We start from the raw sequence: 17962 nt of genomic DNA on the forward strand, positions 1-17962 counted from the left end.
TATTTTTAGCCAGATCTTGTGTTTGGCAATGGTGGAACAGAGATGATTATGGAGTTATCCCTATTCTGGAAGTTTATAGAAAAAAGAGAGGCCATGAATATTTAGTCTTTGGTATTGAAGAATGCTAGATAAAAATATTTGCATTTTCCTTTTCAGGAAGGAAGGATCTTTACTTTTATTTGGAGTTTTTAGAGCTGCTAAACTTGTAGAAAATTTAGCTTCTTTTTTTTTTTGTATTTTGGTCCATTTATACATTTTTGGGATAACAACCTATTTGTGAGAGATGATACATTTTTTTAAAATAATTCATATTTGGTTTTTTTGTCCTTCAGATATTTTGTACAGGGTCTTCCATATATGACACCATCAAAAAGAGTATGTGTGGAATTTAAAGGGTGAAGATTTTATAAAGGTGTTAAGTGTATTTATCTTTGTTCCATTTGAGGTCTACCATCTCATACATTTGAATTACTCATCTTCAGAAATGTATTTTTACCTCTTTAAAATGATAGTTTTCCCAGACTATTAAAATTTTTAAGCTGTATTTTAGTTCATTTTGTTCATGTATGTAATTTTTGTTATATGTCTTCTTTTTTTTCTTTTGGAAGGAAAAGTACTTTTGATTTAAATAAGCAGTAGCAACAGCAGCCAAAACTAAACCTCAACCAAATAATTTCAACAGAAGAGCCTTTTTTTAAGGAAAATTTTCATGTACCCTAAACTGTCTTTTAAATCCAAGGAATACTGGGAATGTTAGACTTAGTGAATTTCAAATCTTTCTTTTTCTTCTAAATATTGCTTATAATTTTTCAGTTGTAATATTGAATCTTTTAGTGGAAAACATAACCCTTTCTTTACAAGAAGATTGTAACTTAGGACACTTATTATTACACTGGATAATTTACCAGTATGTTTACGTGATGGCCCACTAACCTGCTTTTATGATTTCTGTTGATTGAATAAAACTAGTTTTGTATGGACCGTTAAGACTATATACACTGGTTCTACAGAGTCTCTCAGTGGAGCTATGTTACAGATAGTAGCTAGTGAAAATTGTATAAAAATGTTCTCCTTGTGGGGTTGCTTTTGTGTTTGTGTGTGAGGGTAAGGTGGGAGGAGGCAGAGTTGAAAAGGCAAGGTAAGGTATTTCCTGTCAAGTTTTAAATTTACTGAGTAAACTTTCAGTGGGAAGTCTAACAGTTATCCAGTGTTATAGAAGTTCCCTACCACCTACCATGTATCACTAGATGCTGAAAAATTTCTGAGCCATGGCCGTTTTGGGGTAGCCACATGGCCATTGTCCATAGCTATTCTCGTTTGTCAAGTATATTAGCATCCTCTGTGGTTTTTGGCCTCCTTTTTGAAATTTCCACACTACACGTTAACTGTTTGTATATGTATGTATGTGTTGTTGAAACCTCATTGATCATTCCCAGCTTTGAATTATTTCTTTGTTGTTTATATATTTAAATATAGTATCTCTCAAACTTTTGTATTAAGTATTTATATCTTTTAAATATATTAAGCCTAAAAACTAAATACAGTATATAGGCTTGGTGGGTGGCTCACACCTGTAATCCTAACACTTTGGGAGGCCGAGGTGGGAAGATTGCTTGAGCCTAGGAGTTCGAGACCAGCCTGGGCAACATAGTGAGACCTCATGTCTACAAAAAATAAATAAATAAATAAATTAGCCAGGCATGGTGGTGCGTGTTTGTAGTCCCAGCTACTTGGGAGGGTGAGGCAGAAGGATCATTTGAGCCCAGGAGGTTGAAGCTGCAGTGAGCTGTGATAGCGCCACTGCACGGCAGCCTGAGGAACAGAGTGAGACTCTGTCTCAAAAATAAAATAATAAAATAAATTAAATAATAAAATAGTGTGTAATGTATATACTATATGAAGTACTATTTACTGTATTAGAGTCCATATCAGAAAGTGGTGGTTCAGGAAGAATATTTATGGAAATATTATATGCTGTTGTTTTTTATTGTTTATTTTCCTGCAAATTGGGAAAACAATATTATATTTTAGTAGCAATTGGTGTAGCTTTTGGAACAGCAGGAACCATGAATGATGTTTCTGTATGGTGGCTCAAAATGATATGAATGCTTAATATATACTATGTGATGATATATATGTATTACGAAATGATAGAGCTTGTATATAAATATAAATGCATGTAAAACGTACTTTATAAGTATGCTTGCCGACTTTGTTAGTTAGTTTTCTTAAGATCACACAGACCTTAGTGGAAAATCTTCACTGGACCTGTGCCAAGAAGGGGGTACATCTTCATTGGATATGTCTTGTCTTTGCTTCTTTAAACATTTTTTTTTCTTTTTCATTACCCAGGTTTGAAACGCCTCCTACCCTCTTATTTTCTTTGGATGGATTCAGGGCAGAATATTTACACACTTGGGGTGGACTTCTTCCTGTTATTAGCAAACTAAGTGAGTAACTTCAGAGTTTACTGCTGGAATATCACCATTTCAGTGAGATTGACTAGGCAGGCAGTCTTTCTTGGAAAAGTACTGGCAGAACCTAACTGTTTCACTAAACTTTTCTATGGCAAAGTAGTTGAACCTTGTGTAAGGCGCTTATCTTTAATAGTGTGATTACTCTGAAGCTGCCCTTCAAAAAAATAAGTTAATATAGTTATCTTCGAATTTTAACCTTTGGCCATTTTTATATGTATTTATTCTTTCTCAGAATTTTGAATTCCTTGTGAAAAAGTCCCTTGTTTATTTATTTTACAAATATTATTATTTTTGAGACTGAGTCTCACTCTGTCGCCCAGGCTGGAGTGCAGTGGTGTGATCTTGGCTCACTGCAACCTCTGCCTCCCAGGTTCAAGTGATTCTCGTGCCACAGCCTCCCAAGTAGCTGGGATTTCAAGCACATGACACCATGCCTGGCTAATTTTTGTGTTTTTAGTAGAGACAGGGTTTTGCCATGTTGCTCAGGCTGGTCTCTAACTCCTGGGCTCAAGCAATCCACCCACCTTGGCCTTCCAAAGTGCTAGGATTACAGGCGTGAGCCACCATGCCTGGCCTTATTTTACAGATATTTTATTTCAGAAATAGAATTTCAAAAACTAAAGGTATTTCTGAGATATTACGAGTACAGACATAGAATATTTGTCAGTTATTCTGTATTATCCTTTGGATTGAATTGGACTCTTCCTTTTTTTTTTTTTTTAAATCCCAATCAGGCCTTAATTAAGTGATTTTTCTATAAATTCCCCATAAAATAGTATAATGGTGTTTTCTTAATATTGATGCCAAAGTTTTAAATCACGTTAACAACCTTTAAGCAGCTACAATGTAATACTGGACTAAAATAGATGTAAGTAAATACAATTACTTTAGCTTTTTTTCTGGAATTCTAAAATATTGCTTACCAGATTTGAGTATGTGAGGTGCTTTAAACATTAACATCACTCTTTGTAAATTCATATGTACGTCATTATGCTTGTCTTATGAAGTGCCAAAATAATTTTGGGAGAGTTTTAAAAATTTTTAGTTTTTAATTTCTACATGGAAGAAGATAGTTTTGTTTTGTTTTAATGTTTTGCATAAAAAGTCTTTAGCTTTGCATGGACAAAGCTGTGTTCTTCCCAGCAGGCCTGTGGCCTTTGAAGTTTAAATACAGCCCTTTGTTGGCCAGTGATGATGAGCATTTTTTCATGTGTTTTTTGGCTGCATAAATGTCTTCTTTTGAGAAGTGTCTGTTCATGTCCTTCGCCCACTTTTTGATGGGGTTGTTTGTTTTTTTCTTGTAAATTTGTTTGAGTTCATTGTAGATTCTGGATATTAGCCCTTTGTCAGATGAGTAGGTTGCGAAAATTTTCTCCCATTTTGTAGGTTACCTGTTCACTCTGATGGTAGTTTCTTTTGCTGTGCAGAAGCTCTTTAGTTTAATTAGATCCCATTTGTCAATTTTGTCTTTTGTTGCCATTGCTTTTGGTGTTTTGGACATGAAGTCCTTGCCCATGCCTGTGTCCTGAATGGCAATGCCTAGGTTTTCTTCTAGGGTTTTTATGGTTTTAGGTCTAACGTTTAAATCTTTAATCCATCTTGAATTGATTTTTGTATAAGGTGTAAGGAAGGGATCCAGTTTCAGCTTTCTACATATGGCTAGCCAGTTTTCCCAGCACCATTTATTAAATAGGGAATCCTTTCCCCATTGCTTGTTTTTCTCAGGTTTGTCAAAGATCAGATAGTTGTAGGTATGTGGCATTATTTCTGAGGGCTCTGTTCTGTTCCATTGATCTATATCTCTGTTTTGGTACCAGTACCATGCTGTTTTGGTTACTGTAGCCTTGTAGTATAGTTCGAAGTCAGGTAGTGTGATGCTTCCAGCTTTGTTCTTTTGGCTTAGGATTGACTTGGCGATGCGGGCTCTTTTTTGGTTCCATATGAACTTTAAAGTAGTTTTTTCCAATTCTGTGAAGAAAGTCATTGGTAGCTTGATGGGGATGGCATTGAATCTGTAAATTACCTTGGGCAAATCAAAACCACTATGAGATACCATCTCACACCAGTTAGAATGGCAATCATTAAAAAGTCAGGAAACAACAGGTGCTGGAGAGGATGTGGAGAAATAGGAACACTTTTACACTGTTGGTGGGACTGTAAACTAGTTCAACCATTGTGGAAGTCAGTGTGGCCATTCCTCAGGGATCTAGAACTAGAAATACCATTTGACCCAGCCATCCCATTACTGGGTATATACCCAAAGGACTATAAATCATGCTGCTATAAAGACACATGCACACATATGTTTATTGCGGCACTATTCACAATAGCAAAGACTTGGAACCAACCCAAATGTCCAACAATGATAGACTGGATTAAGAAAATGTGGCACATATACACCATGGAATCCTATGCAGCCATAAAAAATGATGAGTTCATGTCCTTTGTAGGGACATGGATGAAATTGGAAATCATCATTCTCAGTAAACTATCGCAAGAACAAAAAACCAAACACCACATATTCTCACTCATAGGTGGGAATTGAACAATGAGATCACATGGACACAGGAAGGGGAATATCACACTCTGGGGACTGTTGTGGGGTGGGGTGAGGGGGGAGCGATAGCATTGGGAGATATACCTAATGCTAGATGACGAGTTAGTGGGTGCAGCGCACCAGCATGACACATGTATACATATGTAACTAACCTGCACAATGTGCACATGTACCCTAAAACTTAAAGTATAATTAAAATAAATAAATAAATACAGCCCTTTGTTACCATTATCAGGAGAGCTTGTCTCCATGGTGCCAAATGTGGCATCGTGAGTTTAGAGTTAAGAGGTGGAGGTACCTGTATATGAAGTTTAAAATAAATCATTAAACCATGAGCCCAAGCCCTAGCTTTGAATAATTAGGGAATGTAGCCTGTAATTCTGAACTGATGGAAGGCAGTGAGATATATAGACACATGCCAATTTGAGGGACTTTTTTAGGCAAATGGAGTATTGAACGCTGGAATCATTAGTTATGTGTTCCCTCCTCAATAGTAGAGGCAGGAGAAAAAGAATGAGGCACCAGAACTAGATCAGCAGGGCATCAGGAATAGTCGGACTTCTGCACTTTCTTGGACTTGAAGCCACAAGATGCCTTTTGTCTTTAAAGCAGCTGAGTTTGTCCAGGGTTAGCTGCTTCTAGATTTATGGCCTGGGACCCTGTCTTCCCAGCTACTCCTTCATCCTTGTTTTAATTTATAGACTTAGTTCAGTTTTCTTATTCTACCTCTTATGATTTAGGTATTTGACCACTAAGTAGTATCAAAGAACTTACAAGCATCATTTTATTATAACTTGTTCATCTTGAATGAAGTGATGTTATGGGTAATTGGCTTAATTATTTTAATGTTTTTCTGACTAAGAGAAAAATGAAGTCATCTTTAAGATTGGATTTGTATCCACAGTGTTGCTTTATAATTCATCCTGAATTTTTATCTGATTAAAATCCCTCCTGGGCTAATTTTTTTTACGTGATTTAGACTGCTGTGGTACCACTGCTAAATGAGGTAAGCCAATTGTCAGATGTATTTAATAACAATGTTTATTTTTTTCCCTTCTAGAAAAATGTGGAACATATACTAAAAACATGAGACCGGTATATCCAACAAAAACTTTCCCCAATCACTACAGCATTGTCACCGTAAGCTCTGCATTTCAACTTCTATCTGTTTGAAGAAGTGAGATGGGATTGTAACATTTTTTGAGGGAATAGATTTAAGATAAAAGAAAAACAACTTATTTTCCAATAGGTAGTTAAGTAAGGAAACCCAGGTTCTGATCTTTGCTCTGCCACAAACTAGCTGTGGCTTTGGAAAGGTCACTTTACTGGCTGAGTCTCCATTTTCTCATCTGTGAAAAGAGATGACTCAAGACCTCAAGAAACGATTTCCTGGTTTCCTTTCAGTGTTAATATTCTCTGATTCTTGTATCCTAGTTTTGAGGCTTACTTTATTTGAGCCAAAAAACCTTCCCAAACTCCTGTGTTCACAACTTGTCTTTCTAATCATCTTGATGATGAATTTAAGCAAGCCACTTTGCCTGACTCCAAATAGGATTACAATCCTGTTTTTGTTTCAGTGTTTCCAGATTTAATTTGAGTCAAATAAAACAGTAGAACTCACTAAGCTTTAGAATTGAAGCCAGAAAATTAGTATGTTAGCTTATATTGATCCAAGCTACTCTGGGACCTCGCCAAAAAAGGAATTTGTTCTGCAGAAATGCTTTACTCAGCAATTTAAAAAGACAACAGCATTGTTTTCAAAATTTCAGAGGCTACCTTTTTTTTTTTTGTTTTTTTGAGATGGACTCTTGTGCTGTTGCCAGACTGGAGTGTGGTGGTGCGATCTCGGCTCACTGCAACCTCCACCTCCCGGGTTCAAGTAATTCTCCTGCCTCAGCCTCCCAAGTAGCTGGGACTACAGGTGCACACCACCACGCCCGGCTAATTTTTGTGTTTTTAGTAGAGTCGGGGTTTTGTAGCCTGCCCGGACCTAGGGGCGGATGGGGGGAATGTGGGAATAAAAGACAAAGACAAAAGAGTATATTTGGAAGAAGGGGTCAGGGGGTACCTTGCCTCTAGTGGACAAGGGCCCTGAGCTTTACACAGCCCTCCATATTTATTAGGCAAAAGAGATAGCGAGTAGAGGGCGGTGGTTGTCGGCTAATTGTCAGTTGGCCTTTTGGTTCACAGCAGGCTTGCGAGACTACATTCTTTTAACAATAGGCTAGATTTCTCAGTAGATAACTTCAAGGAGCCTGGCCAGGGAGTGAGGCCCTCAGCAAACCTTTTGGTGGCAGGGCAGTGTGAGTTTGCCCACATCCTGCATTCATGAAAAACAGTTTGCTGTTTGACCATATAGCCTCCATGGAATGCTGAGTTGGTCATGTCCCACGGGCCTTCAGCTCCCTGCAGGGTTTCACCATGTTGGCAAATGGTCTCCATCTCTTGACCTCGTGATCCGCCTGCCTCAGCCTCCCAAAGTGCTGAGATTATAAGTGTGAGCCACTGGGTCTGGCTGAGGCTGCCTTTTTTATATAGATCTTTATCCTTAGTATTACTGACTTATTTTCTCCTATTACATAATTTAAATCACAAATACTACATAAAATCTTAAGAGGTTGCGTTTTGCCATTACCTGATTTTTTTGTTTTTCTTTCCTTAAACTTATTATAATTCCATGTAGCTTCAGTTATCGGTTTCTTTTTGATGATTTTTTTCTGTGAATGTATTTAACATTAAGTAAACACAACTTGCATATAATCTGTTTTATCTTTTTTAGGGATTGTATCCAGAATCTCATGGCATAATCGACAATAAAATGTATGATCCCAAAATGAATGCTTCCTTTTCACTTAAAAGTAAAGAGAAATTTAATCCTGAGTGGTACAAAGGAGAACCAGTGAGTTCTTTGTTTTTCTACTAAAATAGTTAATTATTCTCATCTATTTCAATCAGAGTAAAATAACCAGATTCTCTAGAGCTTTTAATAACTGATTTCATTTAGTGTGTCTGTGGCCATTCTTTTGTAAATGGAGATGAATGCTGATAATCCTAAACATAACTTGTATAATTGCGTAAAAGGAGAGTAGTTTATTTCAGAGGTGGATTTGGGTTGTGCTGGGCAATTTTTCTTTTCTGATCAATTCTTCTTCTACCAGTAGCATATAGCAGTAGTATGGGGGTAATAGCTTTGATCTACACAAAACTACGTTGTTTTTGAACGTCTTGGTTTTATTTGCCTGTGCTAATTTAGGAGCTTCTTTCCAATTGTGATCTCCAATTTACTTTCCAAGCTGTGTTCTCCTTTTTAATTTTTAAAATTCTCCAATTCTCCAATTTACTTTTTTAAATTGCCACAATTTAAAAAAATTTTTTAAAAATTGCCACAATAATTATATAAGGTCTATTTAAATAATCATGATATTCCTCTTAGAAGGACAAAGAGCATAATAGTTAGTTTGCAGGTTATGAATTCAAATTTTAGCTCTGACATTTAAAGCTGTGTGACTTTGGACAAATCATTCTGTTTCTGCCTCTGTTTTATCATATCTATAATGTAGATAATATTGTTTACTACTTTGTAGGATTATTGTGAGGATTATGTGAATTAATAATGTAGCATGCTTGTAGGAATACTATTTAGAACCATGATTGGCAATAATAAGTGCTTAATAAATGTTAGTTACATACACAGATATCTCAGCAAGTTAAAGACATGTATATTCGTGAATTTTTTTTCTTTTAAGAGACAACTGTTAATTAGGGGAATAGCTCCAAAAGCTACAGGAGTTAATCTCTGACTATTTAATATGTTGTTGCTGCTTAAGAGTCATATTACATGATTATTGTCATCTAAGTGCTGAAGCTTGTTGACCTTAAAAGCATTCTAGCACTAGAGAGGAATGCATTGGTGTGGTATGAATACATACTTTCCTAAGAGATGAATGTTTGCATGATTTCTTAATTTTCCTTCATTTTCTGCTCCAGATTTGGGTCACAGCTAAGTATCAAGGCCTCAAGTCTGGCACATTTTTCTGGCCAGGATCAGATGTGGAAATTAACGGAATTTTCCCAGACATCTATAAAATGTATAATGGGTATGTGAAATGAATTTTTTCTAGGATCTGTAATATAGAACAGCTTATTCTTATGTAATCTCCTTTTTATTGAATCCTGAGCTTTAGCATTTGAGTGATATGTTGGCTGAAAAATGAGAACTGAAGAACTCTTTCTCAAAGAGTTTAGATAGATGGTAAATGGACAGTAAAACTAGACAAGTGGGCCAGCTGTGGTGGCTCACTCCTGTAATCCCAGCACTTTGGGAGGCTGAGGCGAGGGGTCACCTGAGGTCAGGAGTTTGAGACCAGCCTGACCAAAGTGGTAAAACCCCGTCTCTACTAAAAATACAAAAATTAGCCAGGCGTGATGGCGGGCGCCTGTAATCCCAGCTACTCACAAGGCTGAGGCAGGAGAATCACTTGAACCTGTGAGGCGGAGGTTGCAGTGAGCCGAGATCACGTCATTGCACTCCAGCCTGGGCGACAAGAGCGAAACTCCCTATCAAAAAACAACAAAAACAAAAAAAAACAACAAACAAAAAAAGACTAGACAAGTGTTTTCTAGAGCCTTTTGAGAAACACCGATAACGTGTTTAGTTCAGATCTTCGGGCAGACATGAAAAATGAGGTCATGGTGGAGGTAGAGATCTGGGAGTGGGAGTACTGCACATCTTAACTCTAGAAAGAAAAAGAACTGTAACTGCCCAACAGGTTCATCTTGCACACTTCCTAGACAGATTGGGTTTATCAAGACAGGAGAATTGCAATGGAGAAATTGTAATTCATGCAGAGCCAGCTGTGTGGGAGACTGGAGTTTTATTATTACTCAAATCAGTCTCCCCGAGCATTTTGGGATCCAAGTTTTTAAGGATAATTTGGCAGACAGGAGTTCGGGAAGTGGGGAATGCTGATGCGTTGGATTGGGGATGGAATTATAGGGGATCAAGTGAGTTTTTCTTGCTATCTCCTGTTCCTGGGATTGCAAAACTGGTTGAGCCAGATGACCAGGCTGGGTGGTGTCAGCTGATACATGGATTGCAGGGCATGGTCTGGTAAATATCTCAAGCGCTCATCTGAGATTTTACACTAGTGATGTTATTCCCAGGAGCAATTTGGGGAGGTTCAGACTCTTACAGCTGGAGGCCGCATGGCCCCTAAACTATAATTTCTGATCTTGTAGCTAATTTGTTAGTCCTACAAAGGTAGACCAGTCCTCAGGCAAGAAGTTGTTTTTTTTTCTGTGTGTGTGTTTTTTTTTTCTGGGCGGTGGGGAAGGGCTATTACCAACTTTGTTTCAGAGTTAAACTATCAACTAAATTCCTTCCCAAGGTTATTTCAGCCTATGCTCAGAAATGAACAAGGACAGCTTAAAGGTTAGAAGCAAGATGGAATTGGTTAGGTGTGATCTCTTTCACTGTCATAATTTGCTGTTACAATTTTTGCAAAGATGGTTTCAGAACCAAGAGAAGGAAAAGATGAGTGTATTAAAGAGGATACAGATAGGAATGATCTCTGCTATTTAGCATCTATTGCGTTTGCAAATATTATTAAAAAGAAGATATTAATGGTACCTCTGGATTTCCATTTCTAAATTAGTAAATATGCTTTCTAATGTAAGAAACTGATTAGAATAACCTCTCTGTGATATTTGAAATCCATGATGCATTGAGAAAATACAAAAACTTTTTAATGGAAGAACCTCTTTGGCCGATTTGAGCAAGATTACCGAAATAATTTTATTTATTTTTAAATTATAAAATTTCGGTCACAAAATCAATACAACAATGCATTTAGAAGGGTGAACAGAAAATATCTTAAATCCCAGACACGAAATGCTTAGCAATTTTCCTTGTGATCTTATGCTAGTTAGTGTTCTTTATGGTTCCCAGGAGCACAGTGCAATGCCTCTTCTCCACCTTCTTATTTGCCACTGTTTTTATTCCATGGACAGTAATTAAGAGTTTATGGGCTGGGCGTGGTGGCTCACACCTGTAATCCCAGCACTTTGGAAGGCTGAGGCAGGCGGATCACGAGGTCAGGAGATCACCTGGCTAACACGGTGAAACCCTGTCTCTACTAAAATACAAAAAAAAAAAAAAAAATTGCCAGGCGTGGTGGTGCACGCCTGTAGTCCCAGCTACTCGGGAGGCTGAGGCAGGGGAATTGTTTGAACCCGGGAGGTGGAGATTGCAGTGAACTGAGACCGCGCCACTGCACTCCAGCCTGGTGACAGAGTGAGACTCTGTCTCAAAAAAAACAAAGAAGAGTTTGTGTACTAAGCATGGGGGATTCAAAGATTAATAGTATATGATCTCTTGGCTTTTTAAGATTTAGTAGAGTATACAACTAATTGTACTTGGGGTGGGGCAAGAACTCTGATTAGAGGTGTGTAAACAAAGCCTGTGTCCAGAGGAAGGCATATTCAATTCTGCTCAGGAAATACTGCGTAGAGAACTGCTGTCTGCTCCTCAGGGGCCTGCTTCACAGCTGTGCTGAGTCATCAGTGAGTGAGTGCTTCATGATGTATGCTTTGCAAAGTATATTAACATATGAGTTATTCATGTGGTATGCAGTTACTGTTTTCAGGTCCATGAATATTATCCTCAAGTAGAGGATAGCAAGCAAAGTTTTAAATCCAATTGCAATTTTTATCTGTGTAAAACCTAACTTTCATTCTTTCATTGGGAAAATAAAGTTTTCAAATAAAACCCTTGATTTCAAACACAATAGATGCGAAATAGCATTTAGTAGCTCTTAATGACATTTTCAATGAAAAAAACTATATTTTACACCCAAACAATTGTCAGCCATCTTTTATTTTTGTTTGTTCTTCATTTTAGTTCAGTACCATTTGAAGAAAGGATTTTAGCTGTTCTTCAGTGGCTACAGCTTCCTAAAGATGAAAGGTCTGTAGGCAATTAATTTCTATTGTAAATACTTCGTTTTGTAGAAATGATATACTATTTTAAAATAGACTACAACAAAACTTTGCTATTTGCTATGATGTTTTATATCGAAATAAATTCTTTAGTAAATGATCATACCACATTTTGAAGAATTTCAAAGCTGTAAATTATTTCTCAGTAGAACTGTTACACCAGTGTTATAAAATTTAATCCCTATCAATTGATGAATTATTTTTTCCATTCTGTTTTTCAATGTGTTCGTAAAATATTACATTTTGATACTGTTTGATTTAGACCACACTTTTACACTCTGTATTTAGAAGAACCAGATTCTTCAGGTCATTCATATGGACCAGTCAGCAGTGAAGTAAGTACATTTTTATCAGTAATTATTTCATTAAACCCAGTCATCAAACTGAACCTCGCTTTGAAGGAGGCTGCTAGACCATTTTATAAGATTCTATCATTTCTGGAAAAAGCAAGTATTATACACAATATTACTAAATATAAGGATGCACTTTAAACAAAATAAGAGTTGGGAGAATTGTTTAGCCTGTGTTTTCCACAGTGCTAAATTAAACTGATGATCAATTAGCTTCTATATTTTCAATTTGAAAGCCTTTATCCACTCCATCGCCCCTTACCTTGGCCTAAATACTAAGTGCTTTTTGAGAATGTTATAAACAGCTAAACCTCCAGTGTGAAAATACAGGGTAATAAGTCAAATAGCAGAGGAAGCCTCCTATGAACTCTCTTCCTTAGGAGATAGGTCTTTGGCCACCTGAGACCATGCTTACAACAGAGGTCCCATAGAAGGATGGGAGATTTTATCAAAAGTGTAGCGATATTTGAATACGTGATTTTGTTGAATATTTCCTAGGAAACTAGAGGTACGAAACAGCTCATGGACTAACACTTTCAGTGTAACATCTCGTTTGACCTGACACCCTTTCAGGAACTTAGCCAGCGCCTAGCTATGTTTTTAATCTGTGTAGCACTTTAAAACAGCAAACACTGCTTTCAGTTTTCACGTGGCCATATCATTTTTGTTACCATTTTAATGGCAAAAAAACACAATTACTTTTGCACCAACCTAGTATTTTGGAACACAGGAAGCATTAGAACAGAAAAGGATCTGAAGGCTCGGCACCATGGCTAACGCCTGTAATCCCAGCACTTTGGGAGGCTGAGGCAGGTGGATCACCTGAGGTCAGGAATTTGAGGCCAGCCTGGCCAACATGGCAAAACCCTGTCTCTACTAAAAATACAAAAAAATTAGCCGGGCCTGGTGGTGTGTGCCTATAATCCCAGCTACTCAGGAGGCTGAGGCAAGAGAATCGCTTGAACCCAGGATGGGGAGGTTTCAGTGAGCCGAGATCGCACCACTGTACTCCAGCCTGGGCACAGAGCGGGACTCTGTCTCAAAAAAAAAAAAAAGAGAAAAAGAAAATGATTTGAGCATATTTCCTTGTACCTCTAAGTTGACTTTCCTTCTGATATATATTTTGTTGGTGACCTAAGATATGAAAGGAAGTAAAAAGTAAGGATCTTGACTATTTTGGGTCATGAAAAAAGTGAAAAGAGGTATTGCCAGGATCCCTCCTGTCAGAATCCTTGTGTAGTGATCTTGTGCCCCCTGTGATTCCAAGGGGTCATAGACTATTAAAAAAAACACTCTTTCTTAATTTTCTAGGGCTTCACTCCCAAATTCCTATCAGTTCTCCCGCCCAGGTAGCCCAGGTTGGATAGTCGGTGAGCCTTAAGGACTCTTCAGCACAGCGTTCAGACTAAAGCCTGGCCTGACATGTCTGTCATGGTCCCTGTTTTTGAGGGTGCTGCTTGCCTAATTCAGCAACAGCAGAGGAAGGAAGGGAGGCAAAAAAGCATCCTTATTTTTCTCACTTGAATTTACAACAGCTGCCTAAACCATCTTCCCTTCATTTCCCTTTCCCTGGGTCTGCGCTAGATTTGCCCCTCTTAAAAAGTAGGTACTGCTTGGATCACTATCACCTTGGATAAAAGAGAGTGAAGAGAGAAGGAAGTTGACCCTCACCTAGGTCTGTTTTTACCCTTTGTATTCTTTCCATCAAAATCCATCTCCAGCAGCTCCACTGTAGTTAGTAACTCCATTGTGCCTTCCTTTCATTCTGTCCTTCAACTTGGCAGAAATACTCCTGCTTAGAGGGAGGATAAGGAAGATGCATGCCAGCAATGTGGACATGTCATAATTGGTCAAAGGGAAAAGTTTCTTGTAGCTGTTGTCTTGATTTGAACAATTGGCTACATGCTAGTGTGATTTTTACTCTTTCACTAAAGTCACTGATACCCAAGACTTGTGTCTGGGTCAATTTGGCTACAGAAAAATCCCAGGATCATTTTATACTTGTTTATAAGGTTACATACATTTGAAAATCATTGCTGCCTTTTCTAATTCACTAACAGTGTGCCAAAGCACTTGCTTTTCTGAGTCATCTTCATTTAAGGTTGAGCCCATTACTTTTCAAATCATATCCATCAATTTGCAAACTCTGTGAACTCCAACATTACTGGCACACCAAAACCCACTTTATCTTAATACTTAAAAATTCCAGTTCATGTTGCTTGGATAACTTTGAATGAAAGACGTTGTCTTGTTTCATGTTACAGTGAAAGAGCTTATCTCATATTATAGTGAAATAATACTGACAATGAATGAAGATTAAGCTGATTCCACACATTACAGAAAATACACAAAACTGCACAAAAATTTTTCTCAAATGGTTTTGCAAGGAGAGAGGATAAAATAAGTGCCAGAAAGCAGTTTGCCAATATCATTTGTCATTCTGTGTTCTTGTGATATTCATATGTAAAATACATGCAGTTTGTAAGGAAATAATGGGTTATATTCCTATGAGTTCTAATTTAGAAAATTAAATACATTGAATTATAAGAAGCATTTCATGAATAATTTGAACATTTTTGAAAATTAGGAAACATATTTATACAGTGACCATTTGAATGATCAGAAAGTATAAGAAGAAATGAATTGTGGAAAATGAAGTGGTAATTAAGAACATATTGGTTTCTGGCCAAACACTGTAGATTTGAGCTATTATTATTTTGGCTTAAGTTGGGTCTAATCTAAGTAGTAGCATTCTGACCTCAGGAATAGATCAGCTAATCTCATTCCCAAAACTTAAAATTGAACGTGTATAGAATTAGGACTCTTGCATTGTTAATGATCTGCAGTTATTTACTGTTCTTTGTATCTCTGACCCTGACCTGTCTTAGTCTAATGTGAATCAGCTCATTGTAGTTGCATCCACTGGCCCTTATCTATCTATCTGTCTGTCTTTCTTTCTTTCTTTGTTTCTTTCTTTTTTTTTTTTTTTAACAGAGATAGCTTTATGTATAAATAGCCATTAGTGTGGAAGGTATCACATGAGGTTGTTGCTTCCCATTCTTAGGTCATCAAAGCCTTGCAGAGGGTTGATGGTATGGTTGGTATGCTGATGGATGGTCTGAAAGAGCTGAACTTGCACAGATGCCTGAACCTCATCCTTATTTCAGATCATGGTAATCTGAATTTGCATTATTTACTCTTCAGGATAAAGGGCTGAAGAAAGTTTACTTGATGGTTTCCCAATTTTTTCTGAATGTTGTAGTTAATTCTTTTTTAAAAATGTAGTTTCTTATGGACAGTCTTTAGGAAAAAAATACATTAAATATAAAATATAAGTGAAACACAGAATTCACAGAAACCTAAGTGCCTATCAAGCACAATACACCAAGAATTTGAATAGCTAAAAAATATATATTTTCAACATTAAATTTGTGTAACTCTACAATTTTAGATTTAGTTGGAACTGATTATTATAGCTTCAATTTCCTTTTTTTGTTGTTGTTTTTGAGACAGTCTCATTCTGTTAGCCAGGCTGGAGTGCAGTAGCATGATCACAGCTCACTGCAGCCTCAACTTCCTGGGCTCAAGTGATTCTCCTACCTCAGCCTCCTGAGTAGCTGGAACTACTGGCATGTGCCACCACACCTGGCTAATTAAAAAAAATTTTTTTTGGTAGACATGGGATCTTGCTATGTTGAGCAGGCTGGTCTCAAACTCTTGCTCTCAAGCTCCCACTGCTGCCTTCCAAAGTAGTGGGATTACAGGCATTAGCCATCGTGCCCAGCCTTCAATTTTCTTTAGCTTGATAAATCTGACTTTAGAAGCATGATATATTAATTTTGATAATATTTTCACTTTTACTTACTGTGATCTTTGTAACACGCTTGTGTACAGTTTGGGGACTATAGGAGCAGCGTGCCTATGGAAAATAGAAAATAGGTTCTTTTTGTTTTTGTTCTTGTTTTTTGCTTCAGAAATAATTATAGAAATCTGTGTTTAGAAGCAGTCCTAAGAAGTTACATGCAAAGAAGTACCAGTCTTGGAATGAGAGTGAATCATACACATACACTCCCAGTTAATATCCTAGGTGGTTTGGGGCAAATAACTGGGCTTTCACATTCGGTCTAAAAATGTGATAAGACATTCTTCTTTGCTCACATAATGATATTGTAATATATAAATAAGAAGAAACATTAACCAAAATTTGGGTGACGGAAAAGATTTTGAAAAAAGTGAAGTGATAGGTACAGCTGAAATTCTGTCTTACCTATCAGATCTTCAACTAATATGAGTGCTACACCCATGTTTAACGAATTTAACCTTGGAAGTGAAAGAAGTTCTGCTCTGCATATTAAATTTTTTGTTAAAGTTACAGCATGTTTTGGGATTTTTTTTTTCTCCTAGGCATGGAACAAGGCAGTTGTAAGAAATACATATATCTGAATAAATATTTGGGGGATGTTAAAAATATTAAAGTTATCTATGGACCTGCAGCTCGATTGAGACCCTCTGATGTCCCAGATAAATACTATTCATGTAAGTATATCTCTGTGATAACTTTGAATATGGTCATATTAAGAATACCTTCCTTTAGGCCGGGCACAGTGGCTCATGCCTGTAATCGCAGCACTTTGGGAGGCCAAAGTGGGTGGATCACCTGAGGTCAGGAGTTCGAGACCAGCCTGGCCAACATGGTGAAACCCTAAAAATACATATACGATACTATACTATATCTATACTAAAAATACAAAAATTAGCCTGGCTTGGTGGCAGCTGCCTGTAATCCCAGCTGCTCTGGAGGCTGAGGTACAAGAATCGCTTGAACCCAGGAGGCGGAGGTTACAGTGAGCTAAGATCATGCCACTGTACTCCAGCCTGGGCAACTGAGTGAGACTTGGTCTAAAAAAAAAAAAAAAAAAAAAAGAATACCTTCCTTTAAATCATTATATCGCTAAACTAAAGGGAATCACAGTTAATTTTTTTATGATTAAATCTCCAATGCAGAGCTTTTGTACACAAATGGATTTTATGGGACTGGATGCGAGAACACAACTTACCTATTGGTTATTCATGGACTAAGCATAATATTTGATGAGCTTAGTGCAATTTTATGTTGAAGTGTGTGTTTTACTTGTGTGTCAGGATAAAGATTATACTAGAAAAAATGTTTAAGAGAGAAATCCAACTACATTTATTCAAGTTTAATTAATTAATGACACTCCATTAAAATTACTTAGTTTGGGATTAATATTCTGTTGTGAGGAGGAGTGCTGGCAGAAATGATTAATTCTATAGGCAATTGATTCCTGTCCTCCCTTAAACCATTTCAGAAACAATAAAGAATGTATCTTTTACATAGGGAAGAATGAATTTCACATCTCTTGACCACATGTGGAACATAAACTGCCAAAAGATGTTTTAAAATATTTATTCTTTTGCCAGTCAAGTGTATTTCATAACTGTTTCCACCTCTGTTACCTCCCTCTCTTTTTGATTACCATCCATGATAACTTTCAGATGTGTAGAGCAAATTTTGTTTGTCTTTTTGATATGATATAGTTAGTTAACTTTGAAACAGAAAG

At 37.1% G+C, this 17962-nt stretch overlaps 1 protein-coding gene across 1 annotated transcript in view, besides 1 other annotated feature; it reads left to right on the plus strand.

Annotated features, from left to right (window-relative positions):
* ENPP1 (ectonucleotide pyrophosphatase/phosphodiesterase 1) overlaps positions 1-17962 on the plus strand; it is an 87136-nt gene that overhangs the window by 44554 nt on the left and 24620 nt on the right. Inside the window, exons 6-13 of the mRNA NM_006208.3 lie at positions 2353-2450; positions 6095-6174; positions 7814-7933; positions 9022-9131; positions 11933-11998; positions 12293-12365; positions 15445-15553; positions 16785-16916. Coding sequence (NP_006199.2) covers positions 2353-2450; positions 6095-6174; positions 7814-7933; positions 9022-9131; positions 11933-11998; positions 12293-12365; positions 15445-15553; positions 16785-16916 — 788 coding nt within the window. The remainder of the gene's footprint in view (positions 1-2352; positions 2451-6094; positions 6175-7813; positions 7934-9021; positions 9132-11932; positions 11999-12292; positions 12366-15444; positions 15554-16784; positions 16917-17962) is intronic.
* Positions 6985-7531: an enhancer, noted in NCBI's record as "NANOG hESC enhancer chr6:132180698-132181244 (GRCh37/hg19 assembly coordinates)". NCBI's record gives its function as "activates a minimal SCP1, AML or CMV promoter by ChIP-STARR-seq in naive H9 embryonic stem cells {active_cell/tissue: H9 hESC(naive)}" and the evidence as "EXISTENCE:reporter gene assay evidence [ECO:0000049][PMID:30033119]".

This window comes from Homo sapiens, chromosome 6 (genome assembly GCF_000001405.40).
Source record: "Homo sapiens chromosome 6, GRCh38.p14 Primary Assembly".
Lineage (NCBI taxonomy): Eukaryota > Metazoa > Chordata > Mammalia > Primates > Hominidae > Homo > Homo sapiens.